This window comes from Homo sapiens, chromosome 8, assembly GCF_000001405.40.
Source record: "Homo sapiens chromosome 8, GRCh38.p14 Primary Assembly".
Lineage (NCBI taxonomy): Eukaryota > Metazoa > Chordata > Mammalia > Primates > Hominidae > Homo > Homo sapiens.
Genome location: NC_000008.11, coordinates 58644218 through 58661978, shown reverse-complemented (window position 1 = coordinate 58661978; position 17761 = coordinate 58644218). Strand labels below are relative to the sequence as shown.

At 42.9% G+C, this 17761-nt stretch overlaps 1 protein-coding gene across 27 annotated transcripts in view, besides 8 other annotated features; it reads left to right on the top strand.

Moving 5' to 3' along the window:
* Positions 2049-2388: a silencer, noted in NCBI's record as "silent region_19219". NCBI's record gives its function as "represses an Ori minimal core promoter by ATAC-STARR-seq in GM12878 lymphoblastoid cells {active_cell/tissue: GM12878}" and the evidence as "EXISTENCE:reporter gene assay evidence [ECO:0000049][PMID:35858748]".
* Positions 2126-17761, top strand: part of NSMAF (neutral sphingomyelinase activation associated factor) — a 76350-nt gene continuing 60714 nt past the window's right edge. For 24 of the 27 annotated variants that reach the window (NR_182088.1, NR_182085.1, NR_182087.1 and 21 more), the window contains exon 1: positions 2126-2406. Coding sequence is in view for 12 of the 27 variants with exons in the window: in NM_001412988.1 (NP_001399917.1) it covers positions 2348-2406 (59 nt within the window). In the remaining 15 variants the exon portion in view is untranslated. Of the gene's footprint in view, positions 3128-10805; positions 10897-17761 lie in introns of all 27 variants that reach the window. The other 3 variants (NM_001412999.1, NM_001412997.1, NM_001144772.1) reach the window with 3 other exon arrangements.
* Positions 2399-2848: a silencer, noted in NCBI's record as "silent region_19218". NCBI's record gives its function as "represses an Ori minimal core promoter by ATAC-STARR-seq in GM12878 lymphoblastoid cells {active_cell/tissue: GM12878}" and the evidence as "EXISTENCE:reporter gene assay evidence [ECO:0000049][PMID:35858748]".
* Positions 2399-3122: a biological region, named in NCBI's record as "H3K27ac hESC enhancer GRCh37_chr8:59571416-59571978".
* Positions 2560-3122: an enhancer, noted in NCBI's record as "H3K27ac hESC enhancer chr8:59571416-59571978 (GRCh37/hg19 assembly coordinates)". NCBI's record gives its function as "activates a minimal SCP1, AML or CMV promoter by ChIP-STARR-seq in naive H9 embryonic stem cells {active_cell/tissue: H9 hESC(naive)}" and the evidence as "EXISTENCE:reporter gene assay evidence [ECO:0000049][PMID:30033119]".
* Positions 3123-3686: an enhancer, noted in NCBI's record as "H3K27ac hESC enhancer chr8:59570852-59571415 (GRCh37/hg19 assembly coordinates)". NCBI's record gives its function as "activates a minimal SCP1, AML or CMV promoter by ChIP-STARR-seq in naive H9 embryonic stem cells {active_cell/tissue: H9 hESC(naive)}" and the evidence as "EXISTENCE:reporter gene assay evidence [ECO:0000049][PMID:30033119]".
* Positions 3299-3588: an enhancer, noted in NCBI's record as "active region_27413". NCBI's record gives its function as "activates an Ori minimal core promoter by ATAC-STARR-seq in GM12878 lymphoblastoid cells {active_cell/tissue: GM12878}" and the evidence as "EXISTENCE:reporter gene assay evidence [ECO:0000049][PMID:35858748]".
* Positions 10049-10773: an enhancer, noted in NCBI's record as "H3K27ac-H3K4me1 hESC enhancer chr8:59563765-59564489 (GRCh37/hg19 assembly coordinates)". NCBI's record gives its function as "activates a minimal SCP1, AML or CMV promoter by ChIP-STARR-seq in primed H9 embryonic stem cells {active_cell/tissue: H9 hESC(primed)}" and the evidence as "EXISTENCE:reporter gene assay evidence [ECO:0000049][PMID:30033119]".
* Positions 15975-16535: an enhancer, noted in NCBI's record as "OCT4-NANOG-H3K27ac-H3K4me1 hESC enhancer chr8:59558003-59558563 (GRCh37/hg19 assembly coordinates)". NCBI's record gives its function as "activates a minimal SCP1, AML or CMV promoter by ChIP-STARR-seq in naive and primed H9 embryonic stem cells {active_cell/tissue: H9 hESC(naive and primed)}" and the evidence as "EXISTENCE:reporter gene assay evidence [ECO:0000049][PMID:30033119]".

Genomic DNA, 17761 nt, shown 5'->3' with positions numbered 1-17761 from the left:
GGAGTTACCATATGACCCAGTTCCATGGTGGGCAGGCCTATACAAATCTATCTCAAAGTCCTGGGATGCCGGGAGGTGGAAGAAAGAGGCTGACAAATAAAGTTCCTTGGGAAGAAACATTTAATAGCGACTAAGGAACAGAAGCCATGTCCATATCTGTGTCTTGGGCAGCAAGATGAGATGGTGGATTGCTGTGCTATTAACCCCCAGACTCAATGTTTTTTTTTTTTTTTCTTTTGAGATAAGGTCTCTCTCTCTCTGTATTGCCTAGGTTGGGGTGCAGTGGTACGATCATGGCTCACAGAAGCCTCAAACTCCTGGACTCAAGTGATCCTCCTGCCTCAGCCTCTCCAGTAGCTGGGACTATAGGTGTGTGCCACTGCACCCAGGTAATTTTTATTTTTTATTTTTTGTAGAGACAGGGTCTTGCTTTGTTGCCCAGGCTGGTCTCGAACTCCTGGCTTCAAGCAATCCTCCTGCCTCAGCCTCTCCAGTAGCTGGGACTATAGGTGTGTGCCACTGTACCCAGGTAATTTTTATTTTTTATTTTTTGTAGAGACAGGGTCTTGCTTTGTTGCCCAGGCTGGTCTCGAACTCCTGGCTTCAAGGAATCCTCCAGCTTCAACTTCCAAAAGCATTGGGATTACCGGCATGAGCCATCACTCCAGCCCCTTAGGGCTTATATACCATAGGGGAGGGGTGGTTCAGAAGGGATGTGTAGGACAATTGAAGTATAATAACATCAAGTTGTTTGAATTAAGGACAGAACATACTGGGTAGATACCTGCTCTTACACAAGGAACAATAGATAAAGTAGAAATCTTAGAGGCCTTCCCAGAACTGGGGTCAATCAGAAGTCAACACGGAGGATTAGCTTCCAAGATGGAGCTGCTTTCGCCTCCACATCCAGCAATTCCACTCTTAGATTCCAATTCCACTCAACAGAAATGGAAACATAGGTCCATAAAAAAACTGTACATGACTGTGTACAGCAGCCTTATTCACAATAGCCAAAATGTGGAAACAACTGAAATGTCCATCAACTGATGAATGGATAAACAAAATGCAACAGAATATGCTCCAGCAATCTAAAGGAACGAAGTACTGTACAGATACATGCTACAACATAGATGAACCTTGAAAGCATTACGCTAAATGAAAGAAGCCAGACACAAAAGGCCACATATTGTATGGCTCCATTTATATGAAATATCCAGAATAGGCAAACCCATAGAGACAGGAAATTGATTATTGTTTGCTAGGGCTGGGGTTTGGAGGGTAGAGTTAGGAAGAGTGACAGCTAGAGGGTATGGGTTTCTTTTACATGTGATGAAAATGTTCTCAAATTGTGGTGATTGTTGAACATATCTGGAAATATACTAAAAATCGCTGAATGGTATACTTTAAATGGTTGACTTGTTTGGTATGTGAGTTATATCCCAATAAAGCTGTTATATAAAAAAAAATCATGCGAGCAATTATCTCAACAATCAAGAGACTGTGTTAAAGATTCTTTGCTTGGCCAAACTTCAGTTAGGCTTCTGAATCTTCTCCCAGGTCCTTGTGTGCACTTCCTTGTAAATGCAGTGTTAGGAAGTAACACTGCCACGGCAGTTTAGCAAGAATCCCCCACCCTCCATATGTGATCAAAATTCTTTACTCCTACCCTTAGTATCTGACCCCCTGGCCTGCCTTCACTGGGACTCCTGTTAGGTTGGTTCAGCCAGAATTTCCCCCAGAATTGATGTTTCCTCTTAGCAGTTTTCCGAACACCTGCTCCTTGCTCCTTGGCTATAAATCTCCACTTATTCCTGGTGTATTTGGAATAGTTACGACTGAGTTGCCTTCACCCCTTTAACTTCCGTCTTTTTTTTTTTTTCACAATGGAGGACACAAAACGTTGTTATTTCAAGTCTTTGTGGCCAACAGATTGGTGGTTTATGGGCCAGCATCCCTTTTTATGCGTAAAATATTTAAAACGCAGCCTGCAATGGTTGGTAAAGTGGTGAAACGTTTAGTGTGTGAGGTCGGATCCTGGTCTGGCCGCTGGCCCTGGCGATCCTCTGAGGCGGCCTGAGTTTGGGGCGCCTCGTGTCACCGCGCGCCCCTCCTCCGGGCCTGAGTCACGGTGCCGCCGGAGTCCCCACGCGAGGATGCTGCGGTGAGCGCGGCCGGGACGCCGCGTCGGGCTCTCGGCCGCCCAGCGGCGCCGCAGGGGAAGCCAGGCCGGCAGCCGCGCGCTCCCCAGCCGGCCACCAATCCCGCCCTCCCCGGCTCCTCCGGACCTCCTCGGCAGGCGGCGGCGGGGCCTGCCTGTGCGCTCTGCGCCCGCCCGCGCCTACCCTCCATGGCGTTTATCCGGAAGAAGCAGCAGGAGCAGCAGCTGCAGCTCTACTCCAAGGAGAGGTGCGCGCCCAGCTGAAGAAGGGCCCAGCCGGGGGCCTAGTCGGGGCCGGTCGTGGGGACGCCGGCCGGAGATCTGAGGGACGGGAGGCGGCGTGGGGGCCGGGCACGGAGGCAGGGGCCGGACGCGTGTCCAGGGCCTGGGCTGGGGGCTGTGGCGGAAACCTGAGGTCGGGGTGAGAGGCCGGGGGCCTGGTCTGGGCCGGAGCCTGCCGGGGACAGGAACTGGATGACGGGCCAGGCCAGATTCCACCGCGGAGCCGAGGCATGCCGAGCTATCCGGCAGTGCAGGTCCCGGCGGCCGCGGGCAGCTCACCCGGAAGGCCGCGCGGGGTCCGGGCGTGGATCCCGGCACGCGAGCCCGGGCGTTCGCAGGGGAGGGTGAGTACGCTGCCCGGCGGGCACCCCCTTTCTAATCCTTCCCCTTAATCGGGTCCAGGCACTCGGCGCCGGCGCCGCAGAGTTGGTCGCCGGGCGGCACCGAGCAGGCCGGCGACCACCCACTCGCATTGCCGCGCCTTTTTCCTGCCGACTCCTTTAGACACAGGACTAGCTCCATGCCCTGGAAGGCTGGGAGGGGGGCCGCCGGAAAGGCCTGATTCTGAGGAAAGCCAAGGTCCTGCCTCCCAAACACTTGCTCCCCGCGCAGTGGACCTTGTGTTGGAAAGCTTTGCAGTCGAAATCGCGGTGCGGCAGCGGAGCACTCATTCTCACCAGCATCCCAGTAAGGATTTGGGATCCCTTGAGCTAAAATGGTCTCACAGCAGTTCCCTTTCAGATATGCTGGACCTGTCCCCAAGGGAAGTCTCATAAGAAAGCTCACTTCGGCTCTATGTATAGTTCCCAGGGCATTTTTGGTGACAGAAACAACTTGCTCGGTCTGCAGCTCAGATGCCAAAAGGAAAGGGGGGCTGAATCATTTTACAGACACACTGTTTTGATTGTGAGAGCCACAGATCTTCCAGTGCTGCTAGCCTGTCACGTTGTCTCATCAGTGAATACCAGCAAAGCAGGTTACACGTGGGAATACAAGTGCAGACTTCAAGATTTGTCTACACTTGTTTTATAAGGGTTGACTCGACCCCTTTGATCCAGACATTCATCTTTCTCTAATCTGTAATGTTGGTCTAACCAGTGTGTCCACAGTACGAAATGTCATTTTTCTACTGTAGAGAAGAAGATACGATACACAGAAAACGTATCTCAGATATGGCTTTCAAAAATGTTTTTGGTGATGTGATTAGGTTTTAGTCACAGAAAGGGTTGTTTATTAAATAACTGAGCCCTAACTATGTAACTCACACTTGGGGATGCCCTTCTGACTGAATTTGTAATGCATTTTTCTTGTGGAAAGAGCTTGAGTGGAGATTCTTTGTTTAGTACCAACAATATTAAGACTTGTTGGTGCTCTGTATTGAGTGGGTGAACATTCATATTTAAATTGTGAGAACTTTGACACACTTGAATTGGCATCATGTTGTATGATATGAGTCATTCGTGCCAATACTCATATTGGCCTTTTTGATATACAGGGAAACGTTTTTTCCTTGGTTCTGGCTGTTATTTCGATGAAGTAATTTGTGTTCAATTTGGCTAGCTCATACAGCTCCGTGGTGTCACACAAACCTTGAAACCTGTACTTGCATTTCCATGTATATGCTGCTTTGTTAGAATTCATTGATTAGACAACAACGTGATAGGCTGGCAGTGTTCAGAGAGAACTCTAGCTCTTGGCAACCAAAACATTTATCTATCCAGTCAGGAGGCATCAACTGTTCCTGAGCATCAGTCATCTGAAAAAGTTGGCGCCATGTGTTTTATATTTATTTGAATTATAACTTGCTGAGTGCCCAAATTGTTTAGTGCTCTGCCCCATGGCTTTGCAACCTGGGCTGATGGGCATACTCCATTCAATGCATAGAATATGCATTTGAATGACAGGAATCTGTCTCACATCAGGTATGCACTGGAATCAAGGAGTCTCTTTTATAAATCTTAGAATTCATTCTGAAACAGAGGAATATTTTAAGGCAACTTTATTAAGCCCCAAATTTACCATTTCTGCCCAGATTTTTCCGGGTTTATCCCCTTGCATCAATAAACACAAATTAGCAAATGGATTGGATTCGTCATTGGCTCCAGCATACCCAGGAAAATTGTTACTTTTCTTGGAAAACTTGAAGAGGGGTTGTTTCAGAGGTTACCCATGAGAGGCCTCAACCTGTTCATTGTAAGTTCACTGGCGGCTCTCATGCTAATTAAGGGATTTTAGATTTCCAGAGCTACCAAATATTGACCCCAGAAAAGAAACTTGAAATGAGCATTTATTTCTCTTATTGTTAGGTTGATGTACTTTGATATTCCTGCAAAAGCAGAAGCATAGAGACTGACTAGGAGATTCTTGCATTGGTGGTTTAAACCAAGGTGGTGGCAGAATAAATGGAGGAAAGTGGATGGATTCTAGATGTTTTTAGGACGTGTGATTGACAGGTCTTGGTGTGGTGTATTGTCTGTGAGAGGTGATAAAGGAAGAATTCCAGCTAGGATTATCTGATAAAATACAGCACACCCAGTTAAGTTCGAATTTCAGATAAACAATGAATAATTTTTTAGTATAAGTAATTGCGATAGTATATGCAATATTTGGTATGTACTTATACTAAAATTTTTTTAGTATAAGTAAATGCAATAGTATATGCAATATTTGGTATATACTTATACTAATTTTTTTTATTTTTATTTTTTTGAGACAGAGTCTCGCTCTGTTGCCCAGGCTGGAGTGCAGTGGCGTGATCTTGGCTCACTGCAAGCTCCGCCTCCTGGGTTCACGCCATTCTCCTGCCTCAGCCTCCCAAGTAGCTGGGACTACAGGCGCCTGTCACCACGCCCGGCTAATTTTTTGTATTTTTAGTAGAGACAGGGTTTCACCGTGTTAGCCAGGATGGTCTCGATCTCCTGACCTCGTGATCCACCCACCCGCCTTGGCCTCCCAAAGTGCTGGGATTACAGGCGTGAGCCACCGTGCCCGGCCCTTATACTAAAATTTTTAAAAGTATATTATTTATCTGAAATTCAAATGTAACTGGGCATATGATATTTTTATTTGCTAAACATGGAAATTCTACTCTCAGACTTCTGGTTTGAATAACTATAAAGTGGTGCCATTTATTGTTGATGTTTATAAATAAATGTTTTGGTAATTTTAAGGATTAGAAAACAGACACTTGGCCATTCGAAATAAGTATACTTATATCCTGGTTAAGATTTAGGTGGCAGGCCAGACACAGGGCTCACGCCTGTAATCCCCAAATTTTGGGAGGCCAAGGCAGGCAGATCACGAGGTGAGGAGTTCGAGACCAGCCTGGCCAATCTCTAATAAAAATACAAAAATTAACCAGGCATGGTGGCGTGCGCCTGTGGTCCCAGCTACTTGGGAGACTGAGGCAGGAGAATTGCTTGAACCTGGGAGGCGGAGGTTGTAGTGAGCCGAGATGGTGCCATTGCACTCCAGCCTGGGCGACAGAGCGAGACTCCATCTCAAACAAACAAACAAAAAAAAGATTTAGATAGCAGGAACCATATTGATTTTATTGTTTTTTAAAAATGTCCTGTGCAGGTGTTGGTGAGGGTAAATTGAAAACATTTTTTATTTTTTATTGTTTTTTTTTATTGAGACGGAGTCTCACTCTCGCCCAGGCTGGAGTGCAGTGGCACGATCTCAGCCCACTGCAAGTTCCGCCTCCCGGGTTCACGCCATTCTCCTGCCTCAGCCTCCCGAGTAGCTGGGACTACAGGCGGCCACCACAGCGCCCGGCTAATTTTTTGTATTTTTAGTAGAGACGGAGTTTCACCGTGTTAGCCAGGATGGTCTCGATCTCCTGTCCTCGTGATCCGCCCGCCTCGGCCTCCCAAAGTGCTGGGATTACAGGCGTTAAAGGCAATTCACATGTCTTCCTTGGATTTGTCAGGGATGGCAGGTGTATACATTGGGTTAGTAGATGAGGATATTATACAGACTTTCTATTTAAGACATTTCTATTTTAATATGAAATATATTAAAAGGTGGGAAGATCACTCGAGCCCAGGAGTCCAAGGTTACAGTGAGCTATGGTCATACCACTGCACCCCAGCCTGGGTGACACAGTGAGACCCTATCGCAAAGAAAAAAAAAAAAAAGACATTTCTATTTTATGATTTAGAAGTAGACTAAAGTAGGCAAATTGTTAAATTTTTTTGCTTTACTATCCACCGTGGAGTGTTGGGATGACAGCTATTTCTTGGGTAATGTAGAAGTTTAGATACTTGCCTAGGTGCCATGGCTTACACTTGTAATCCCAGCCCTTTGGGAGGCCAAGGCACAAAGATCGTTTGAACTCAGGAGTTTGAGACCAGCCTGGGCAACATAGGGAGACCTTTTCTCTATTTAAAAAATAAATAGGCCAGGTGTGGTGCCTCATGCCTGTAGTCCCAGAACTTTGGGAGGCCAAGGTGGGTGGATCACTTGAGGTCAGGAGTTCGAGACCAGCCTGGTCAACATGGTGAAACCCTGTCTCTACTAAAAATAAAAAAAAAAACTAGCCGGGTGTGGTGGCACACACCTGTAATCCCAGCTACTCGGGAGACTGAGACAAGAGAATCGCTTGAACTTGGGAGGCAGAGGTTGCAGTGAGCTGAGATTGTGCCATTGCACTCCAGCCTGGTCAACAGAGTGAGACTTTGTTTCAAAAATAAATAAATACATAATAGAAAAGAAATTTAGATAGTTGAGATATGTTTCCTTCTGAGGAAGAGTCATAGTTTTATCTCTGTAATGTCATAGAATAAATTCTTAATTGTGCTTTGTAAGTTCCACAGATTTCCACTCAAGGATGGAAATTAGTGATCTTGAATTCTGTATTTGGTGCCTGCATATTACATTAATAGTTTAACAGGCACTTTGAGATTTCAACTTTGTTTCAGACATTCCATGAGTGTATAATATTCTTGATTATGCTAGTATTAACTTTCTTTCTTTTTTTCTTTTTTGAGAAGGAGTTTCCCTTTTGTTGCCCAGGCTGGAGTGCAATGGCATGATCTTGGCTCACCGCAAACTCCGCCTCCTGGGTTCAAGCGATTCTCCTGCCTCAGCCTCCCAAGTAGCTGAGATTACAGGCATGCGCCACCATGCCTGGCTGATTTTGTGTTTTTAGTAGAGATGGGGTTTCTCCATGTTGGTCAGGCTGGTCTCGAACTCCCGATCTCAGGTGAGCCACCACGCCCGGCCCAACTTTCTTTTACTCAATATGTTTGTTTAATCAATTGTGTCTATATTTATTTTATAAAAAGCACTTGGCAAGAGGGCAAAGTGATTGTGGTACTTCGGTTTAATCTTTCATTTCTAAGGCTTATCATCCCAGTCTTTTCAGATCTGTTTGTGGGATATACCAGGTGTTGAAACTGGAGATCAGTGGAGATAAAGTCAGGACTTAATTCGTCAGGAATGCCGATAGGTCCCAAGAAATCTATCCGACTGTGACTTAAAGAAATAGGGTTTTTTTTTCTCACATGAAAAACAGCGGGAGAGGAAATAAATGTTGCAAATTTCTTGGTTAATTTAGACTCTATATTGACTTTACCCAAAATGTATTACTAGCCTACCCACTTACTTTCCTTTTATCTCAAATTAACCTCTTCCAAAGTGTCTACCATTGAGAAGTCACAGGAATCTATCCATAAATGGATTTTGAGTATGTAAGCTATATAATATTCATTAAAAATTTTTTTAGTGTGATATAAAATAGGAATGGTCATTTAAGGAATTCAGTGCTATTTTTCTTCTAAATACCATTGTCATTTCATCTTTTAACCATCAGATATTTAGAATTGTGTCTTAAAATGTCCAACTCATAGATTTTGAAAATTATCTTTTTGTTATTTTTTTTAACTTGTATTCAGTAAGTAACTTAGAATTGTTATCTTCTTGGTGAGTTGAATTTTTTATCAATATATAATGACCTCTTTACTTCTAGTAATTTTTTTTCTATTTTGTCTGATATTAATATAGCTATATCAGTTTTCTTCTGGTTATTTGCTTTGTATGGGATTTTCCATTGTTTTACTTTTCACTATTCTGTGTCCTAAGGCTTTAGGCCTGTTTCTTATAAATAGCTTATACTTGGACTTTTTTTAAATGATTCATTTTGATAATTTTTATCTTAATGAATTAGTTTAGTCTGTTTACATTTATTATTACAAATATATCTGAATTCACTTTTATTTTTTAGTTTTGTTCTTTTATTTTGCCTTCCTTCCCTTCTTCCTTTGGATTAAATAAGGCCCCCTTGCTCCCTTTCATTTTTCCCCAAAGAGTATGGAAGTTATATATTTTATTTGTTTTTCTAATGCTTATCCTTAAAACATAAGCATATTAAATTTAAGATCTGAAGCTAATCATTATCTTTACTCTCCTCTCTACCAGTGTAAGAACCTTGGAACACTTAACTGCTGTGCCCCCATCCTCAGTTATAGTCTGTTATTGTCCGGTATTTTTTATCTCTATTTTAAACCTACAGATTGTACATTACTAATTGCCTGGTTAATGCTTCTGTAGTTTTACATGCATATTTACCATTGTTTTTGTTCAATATTCCTTCTTACATGTCATATCCTCGTTACGGAATTATTTTCTCTTTCCTGAAGAATATCCTTTAGAAGTTCCTCTGATCAGGGTTGGATGATGATAAACCACCTCTGTTTTTGTCTGTCTGAACATATCCTTATTTTCCTTTTGCTTTGAAAATCCGTTTTGCTAGATGTTTAATTCTCAGCATTTTGAAGATTATCCAAACAAAGGCAAAGGGCCAGGGAATATGCATCAGACTTGCTGGAGTGCTCTGGGGTGTTGGGGGGGTACCTCACAGAGAAAGGTCAGTGATAGTTGTGCCTTGTCCCCCTGGGGTAACGTTCAGCTACCTGGCTGGGCCAACTTCAGACTTCAGGAGAAACCAGCACTCCAGGGAGTGACCAGGGGCCAGAGTACAGTAGGACCATACTGTGATGGAACCTTGGCTCACTCATCCCAGCTCAGCATGTGTGGCTGCAGGATATCCTTACCTCCTTGCTGGCTTGATTGGGGCTAAGTCTGTATAATGTGGCAGAGTTTGTTCTTGATTGGGGAAACACCAGCCTTTTTCCTGGCATGGTCAGGGGACCAGGGTTCAAGCCTTGTGGTTGATGAGGTTTGATTGCCTTAAACACAATCATAGCAGTTTTCCCTGAAACTTTGCAGGAGGCCACCTTCTCTTCTGGGAGACCAGCCTGCAACAAACCAATATTGTTAAGTCTAATTGTTCTTTGTAGGTAATCTCTCTTTTCTCTGACTGCTTTTAAGATCTCCTCTCTGTAGTTTTTTGCTGTCTAGATATAGATTTTTTTTTCTTCATCTATCCTGCTTGAGCTTCCTAAAGCTAAAAGTTTTGGAAAATTTGGAGCCAAGCTGAACTAAGGCTAGAACAAATGTTCTCTGATCCAAGTCCAACCTCTTTTCCACTGTACCATACTGCTTCTATTTTAAATACTAGGTTGTGGGCTACTGGCCAGTGCTTATTTTTATGGTATCCTTGAAGTTTAGACTGATTCAGGAATGAATGAAGCCTGTTTTATGTAGATATCAGAATCTTGTTAGTCAAAGTGTTGTCCACAGGCCAGCAGCGCATGTGTGCCTGGAGCTTGTTAGAAATGCACATTCTCAGGCCTCACCCTGAAGCTGCTGCCTTGGAATGTGCATTTTAACAAGATCCCCAGTTGATTGTGTGCACACTAACCTTTGTGAAGCGCTGCGCTAGATAACAGTAATTCAGCATTCATCTTGATTTTTTATTTGTTTGTTCCTTCCAACTGAACTTCCTTCTTTAACTTCTTGATAGTACATATAAAAAGGCTGAGGGAAGCCTCCTGCCCTGCAGTATGACACTTGATGAGGAAACTGGAGGACTTTGAGAGCATAGATGACATTTTTACCATTTCTTCTCATAAATTGCTGGGACTTGAAAATAGAATTGACTGGCTTTATGGATGGTGTCAGTGAAAGGGATTTTGATATCTGAACCATCTTGGCTGGAAGTCACTGCATCTCACATAGTCAGGGAGAATGTAATTTTCTAGAGTCCAGCTGAGTGATAGAAAGCTTTAACCTAATTACTGAGGGGAAGGGCTAAAAAGGCCAGATGAAATAGTGAAATTGTTTAAATTCATGAGAACTCTTTCTGGGAGGGAAGAAGGGCCAGTAATTTATAGGAGAAAACAACTGGTACAGGAACTAGAAATGATACTTAGTCCCTCAGATGTCTCTCTGCAAATGTGTAGAACATGGATAATAAAATGAGCCAGGTCTTTTAACAAAAAAGGATTAATGTGTGTTTTAGGTGTCACTGGAGTTGGGTAAGATGAGACCCAAGATTGGAATCTAGTGTTGAAAAGCTGCAGACCTATTGAAAAGGAAAGACCTGCCAGGAGGTGAGGCAGTGGGCTCTGAATGTTAAGAAGGTATACATCTGAAGGGGAATCCATGAAACCCCAGGAAAAAATCCCAGAGAACACAATTGGAAAGAGGAACAAAGATAACATGATTGTGTTCTTTTGTTACAGGCCACGTTAAGTGGGTGGAAGAAATGGTGGCTGTGTACCTGGTGTAAATGGGAAAACAGGAAGTGGCAATAGAGATACTGGCTGAAATGCTTAGTGAAATCTAAGTACAGTTTATTGACTTCCTTTCTTAAAGTTTTAATTTATCCTAAACTTGAGAACTTTACTTAATTCTGAATATTAAAGACAAATTATTAACCAAGTAGCAATGAAATGAACCATCATAAAAAGCAGTCATATCAAGTTGTTTATTGCTGGAGCTCAGGAGAGTTGAGAGGGATCCTGTCATACATAGAACCTAGAATTTTAAGAAAGCAGATATTGAAAGTTCCAAGGAACAAAAAAGATAGGTGCTGTTACTGGACAGTTTGGAAAGCATATTGACCCAGGAAGTTTGTGAAACTGTCAAAAATACAATTAAGAACATCTAATCCAAATGATCTTTTGTGAGGAGTTACAGAAAATCAGGCAAGCTTGCATGTTGGAAGGAAGCTAAAAAAGAAAAAGAAAATCAGGCTAGCAAATAAAGAATGGTTGTACAGGTAGTATTTCTCTGAGTTTATAATTATTAGTTTTAATATAAAACAAGAAGGTTATACATAGTTAATTTCAAAAAGGTTAAAGCCCCAAATGAGTGGAACCTTTGAAAAATGGTACAGATTAAAAAAATAAAAACAAAAAAACTTCCAAAGTTGCCCTTGGAACTAGGAAGTACTGGGCTGCTGCCTAGGCCTAGCCTGGTACCAGGTGTAACATTGATTTATGACAGGGAAAGCTCTTATTTTGTACTCTATTAATAATACTAATCTTCAGACTGAAAGAGGATGAACTTTCGCAAGATGGGTGAAGATGCAAATGGTACCCAAGTGCTTATGTCTCCTGGCGTAAAATCCTGGGAGAGTTTGAGTGTAGAACCACAGAATTATTTCAATGATCTAGGAACTTTGAAAGGTGCTGAAAGAACATGTGTGCATAAATAGGTTTAATGCAAATTCTAGATCAGACAGATTATTTATAAACCACTAGAAGAGGAAGTTGTTGTCACCAGTCCCCAGCATGAACGTCATGCTGCTAATTCAAGAGAGGTTTAATGGGCTCACAGTTCTGCAGGCTGTACAGGAAAGAAGGATGGCACTGGCATGTGCTTGGCTTCTGGTGAAGCCTCAGGGAGCTTTTACTCATGGTGGAAGGTGAAGTGGGAGCAGGTACATCACATGGCAAGAGAGGGAGCAAGAGAGAGGAGGAGGAGGCTCTGGACTCTTTTAAACAACCACAACCGGATCTCATGTGAACTAACTGAGCATGAACTCACTTATTACCAAGGGGATGGTGCTGAGGCATTCATGAGGGATCTGCCCCCATGATCAGGTCACCTCCCACTGGACCCTACTTTCAACATTGGTAATTCCATATTAACATGAGATTCGGAGGGGACAAACATCCGAACTATATCATTCTGCCCCTGGCCCCCTAAATCTCATGTTCTTCTTACATTGGAAAATACAATCATTTCTTCCCAATAGTCCCCCAAAGTGTTAACTTATTTCAACATCAAGTCCAAAGTCCTAAGTCTCATCTTACACCTATCTCTTTCCACCTATGAGCCTGTAAAATCAAAACAGTTGATCTACTTTCAAGATACAATGGTGGTACAGGCATTGGGTAAACATTCCCATTCAAAAGAGAGAAATCTGCCAAAAGAAAGGGGCAGTAGGCCTCACTGAAGTCTGAAACCCAGTAGGGCAGTCATTAAATCTTAAAACTCCACAATAATCTCCTATGACTCCTTGTCCCACACCCAGGGCCAGCAGTGTAAGAAGTGGGCTCCTAAGGCCTTAGGCAGCTCTGCCTCTGTGGCTTTGAAGGGTGCAGCCCACTTGGCTGCTTTCACAGGTTGGAGTTGAGTGCCAGCAACTTTTCCATGCTGAGGTTGCAAGTTGCTGATGGCTCTACCATTGTTGAGTCTAGAGGGCAGGTGGCCCCCTTCTCATAACTCCACTTGGTGGGGACTATATATGGGGACTCCAGCCCACTTTTCCCCTTCATACTACTGTCGTAGACGTTCTCTGTATGGGCCCCATCCTTGTAGCAGGCTTCTGCCCGGGATTCCAGGCCTTTTCACACATCCTCTGAAATCTAGGGGTAAGCTGCCAAGGCTCCTTCATGCTTGCATTCTGTGCACCTGCACACCTAACACCACATGGAAGCTTCCAAGGCTAATGTCTTGCACCCTTTGGAGCAGCAGCATGAGCTGTACTTGTGGGCCTTTGAGCCATGGCTGGAGGTGGAACAGTGGGTCTGCAGGAAGCAGTGTCCCTAGGCTGTATGGGGTAGTGGGAAGCTGGGCTTGGCCCCCTAAGCCCTTCTTTCCTCTCCTAGGCCCTCTGTGATGGGAGGGACATCCTGAAAACTTCTGAAATGACTTTGAGGCCTTCCCCATTGTTTTGGATATTAGCCCTTGGCAACCTTTTAGTCATGCTCATCTCTCTAGCATGCAATTATTCCATAGCTTACTCCATAGCCGGCTTGAATTCCTCTCCTGAAAATGCTTTTTCTTTCTCTACCACATGGCCGGGCTACAAATTTCCCAGAGTTTTATGTTCTGCTTTCCTTTTAAGTGTAAGTTCCAACTTTAAGTCATTTATTTGTTCCTGTATCTGATTGTTGGCTTTTAGAAGCAGCCAGACCAGTTCTGAAACCCTTTGCTGCTTAGAAATTTCTTCCGCCACATACCCTACCTAAGTCCTTACTCTTAAGTTCAACCTTCCACAGATCCCTAGAACATGGACACAAATGCAGCCAAGTTCTTTGCTAGTTTGTAACAAGGGCGACCTTTGTTTCAGTTCCCATTCATTTCCTCATTTCCATCTGAGACCGTGTCAGCCTGACCTTCACTGTCCATATTCCTATCTGTATTTTGGTCACAACCATTTAACCAGTCTCTGAGAAGTTTCAAACTTTCCCTTGTCTTCCTGGTCTCTTCTGAGTCCCCCAAACTCTTCCAGCTTCTGCCTGTTACCCTGTTCCAAAGCTGCTTCCATGTCTTTACGTATATCCATAATAAAATGCCCTACTCCCTGGTGCCAATTTTATGTCTTAGTCTGTTTTTGTTTTGCTATAAAGAAATTCCTGAGGCTGCGTAATTTACAATGGAAAGAGGCTTAGTTGGCTCATGGTTCTGCAGGCTGTACAGGAAGCAAGGCACCAGCATCTGCTTGGTTTCTGGTAAGCCTCAGGGAGCTTTTACTATGGCAGAAAGTGAGTGGGAGCAGGTGTATCCCATGGCAAGAGACAGAGCAAGAGAGAGAAAGGGAAGTTCCCAGACCCTTTTAAACAACCAGAGCTTGAGTGAACAGATTGTGAACTCATTTATCACCAAGGGGATGGTGCTGAGTCATGAGGGATCTACCCCCATGATCCAATCACCTCCTACCGGGCCTCCACCTTCAACGTTGGGAATCACATTTCAACATGACATATGGAGAGGACAGAACATCCAAACTATATCACTGTCCAGTGTATTACTGGGGGGATGTTTCCAATGGTGGGTAGTAGGACTGCGATCTTGCCTTGTCTATAACAGTTTTCTTAATTTCTTCTTTATTTCAGAAATCATTTTCAGAAGCTTCTTAAAAATGGTCCGTTTAATTAAATCAACTCTCTAGTAGGGGCACTGTAGTCTAGCTTCATTCAAGGCTGGTGTTGGGGTATTGAGAGTAGAGGTGGCAAATACACAGCACTCCTGTGCTTTCCTTTGCCTCTGCACACATCACGAAAGTGTCATGGCATCACAGCACTTCCTCCCAATAAGTTTGGGTTACACTTCTTATCACAGTGAAGCCTGTTAGAGAAAGCATTGACTAACAAAACCTTCTGGATCCACTGTAAATACTGTTCATCAGCTGAGTGTTGAATAATTGTTGAGTGGAATGCAAGGTTACTCCAGCTATTTTAAGTTCTAGTTAAGTGTTGTACAGTAGGCTTTAAAATTTAGGTGATGTAAGAATAGGAAAACATCTTTTTAGGAATGTTGAGTTGCTCAATGAGGAAACTTCTCTAAAGAGAATGAAACCACACCTCTGTAAAGGAGGATTAAACTAGGAATATGTAGGGGCAGGGCTAAGAGTCTTCTAAAGAAATAATTTACAGTCAGATACAATACCAAAGGATGAGACCATCCAATTACAAAACGGTGATTTTAATTTTTTTTTTTAAGCATGGACTCTTTTACTCCGTAAAATGTAGTTTGAAAATCATTGTTCTAAAAATCATGCAACTTAATTATAATAATTTTTACATAGAAAAATTTTAAAGCGGGTATAACAACACTTTAGTAAAAAGAAAACATAGACTCAGAAAAGTTTCATAATCCTTTACTTCAAACAATATGATTTGGTTATATCCCTTCACTGTGTGTTTTACATTTCTTGCAAAATATGCATATTGATAAATTAAGGAGGCTATAATTAATTCACTTACCAAAATGACTTTAGTTCTAAAATAGCTGATATGATTATATTTTAATAATTATATGGAAGAATTGTCTCTGAAGGCTACTTGTGCATCATAGAAATAAAATTATGCCATTGTCTTATTGAAGAATACTTACTCTATTCTTCCCTCTCTATAAGAGAAGGAGTGAGGCGATTAGGAAAGAGAAGGAAGGATGTGTAACTCCAATTCTGTCTTGTGACTATATTGAAATTCAGATTAAGTATTGATAGTGTGCATTTTGTTTTGCACTCTGGCAGTTTACCCTGTAATTGATTCTTGTTCATGGATTTAGATATGGAGGACAGGTCAATAAAAGTTACAGATTAGGATGGTAAAATTGGTTTCTGCTATCATTTTTAATTTTTTGAGTTACTTTTCTTTTGGTTCAGATGATGATGATGATGATGATGATGATTTTGAGACGGAGTCTCGCTCTTGTTGCCTAGGCTGGAGTGCAGTGGCGCGATCTTGGCTCACTGCAACCTCTACTTCCCAGGTTCAAGCAATTCTCCTGCCTCAGCCTCCCGAGTAGCTGGGATTATAGGCGCCCGCCACCACGCCTGGCTAATTTTTGTACTTTTAGTAGAGAGGTGGTTTCACCATGTTGACCAGGCTGGTCTCGAACTCCTGACCTCAGGCAAACCGCCCGCCTTGGCCTCCCGAAGTGCTGGGATTACAGGTGTGAGCCGCTGCGCCTGGCCTATTATTTTTTTTTGATGAGCATCTCTTCTGGTGTTATGAATATAACTTCTTCTTTGTAGGGATATTAATTGTAGCCTTTTGACCTTTTCTTCTGTTCTCTGCATTGTGTTTAGTCCTTCAAGTTGCATTCTTCCTGCTTGCTTTGGCTTTGTTCTTTCATCCTAGAGGCTGTGATCTTGGGCTGTTCATTCATATTTAAATGTGAAGCATTTAATTCTGTGTCACTGGGAATGGGCTATTTCAGTTGAGTTTCACTGTGGGATGATGTTGTAGAGACCTGGCTTTTTCTCTGAGGCTGTTTAGTTTTTTCCAAAACTAATGTACCAGACTCCTGCCTGGAGTGATATATGGATGAAGCTGGAAACCATAATTCTCAGCAAACTAGTGTTCATCTATTCCATGTTTTGCATAGTCATCCTCTCTTCACACTACAATCCTGCTCTCCACTGTGCCTGATACCTAGTGTGCAGCCTCTTGTTCCACTTTTTTTTAAATAGAAAAACCACATGCCAGAGTGCAGTATGGTTAACCCATCAGGAAAAGAATTGGGGGCTACTGCCCTCATTCACTTTTAACCACCCTCATGCTTTACAAACCCTGTCCTCTTGGTACCTGATACTGCAATTTCTTTTTTTTTTTTTTTTAATTATACTTTAAGTTCTGGAGTACATGTGCAGAACGTGCAGGTTTGTTACATAGGTATACACGTGCCATGGTGGTTTGCTGCACCCATCAACACATCATCTACATTAGGTATTTCTCCTAATGCTATCCCTCCTCTAGCTCCCCACCCCGCCAACAGGTCCCCGTGTGTGATGTTCACCTCCCTGTGTCCATGTGTTCTCATTGTTCAGCTCCCACTTATGAGCGAGAACATGGCGGTGCTTGGTTTTCTGTTCTTGTGTTTGCTGAGAATGATGGTTTCCAGCTTCATCCATGTCGCTGCAAAGGACATGAATTCATCCTTTTTTACGGCTGCATAGTATTCCATGGTGTATATGTGCCACATTTTCTTTATCCAGTCTATCATTGATGGGCATTTGGGTTGGTTCCAAGTCTTTGCTATTGTGAACAGTGCCGCATTAAACATATGTGTGCCTGTTTCTTTGTAGCAGAATGATTTATAATCCTTTGGGTATATACCCAGTAATGGGATGGCTTGGTCAAATGGTATTTCTAGTTCTAGATCCTTGAGGAATCGCCACACTGTCTTCCACAATGGTTGAACTAATTTACACTCCCACCAGCAGTGTAAAAGCATTCCTATTTCTCCACATCGTCTCTAGCACTTGATCCTGCAATTTCTGAACTTTTTGGAAGTCCGGTGACTTGAACTGGTTTTCTCCTGAGTGGTGCCTTCTCTGGAGGCATCTGAAATTCTGATTTCTGAGCACTGCTTATTCCCCCGGTCTGCTTTCCATTTCTCACAGATTTGTTCATGTCTCTTCTCTGCTTTAATATCTCTCCAATTTGCTTTAGCCTGTGGGTTTTACCATTTAAAAATAGTTTTATTCACATTGTAGTGGTGTTTCAAGAGGCA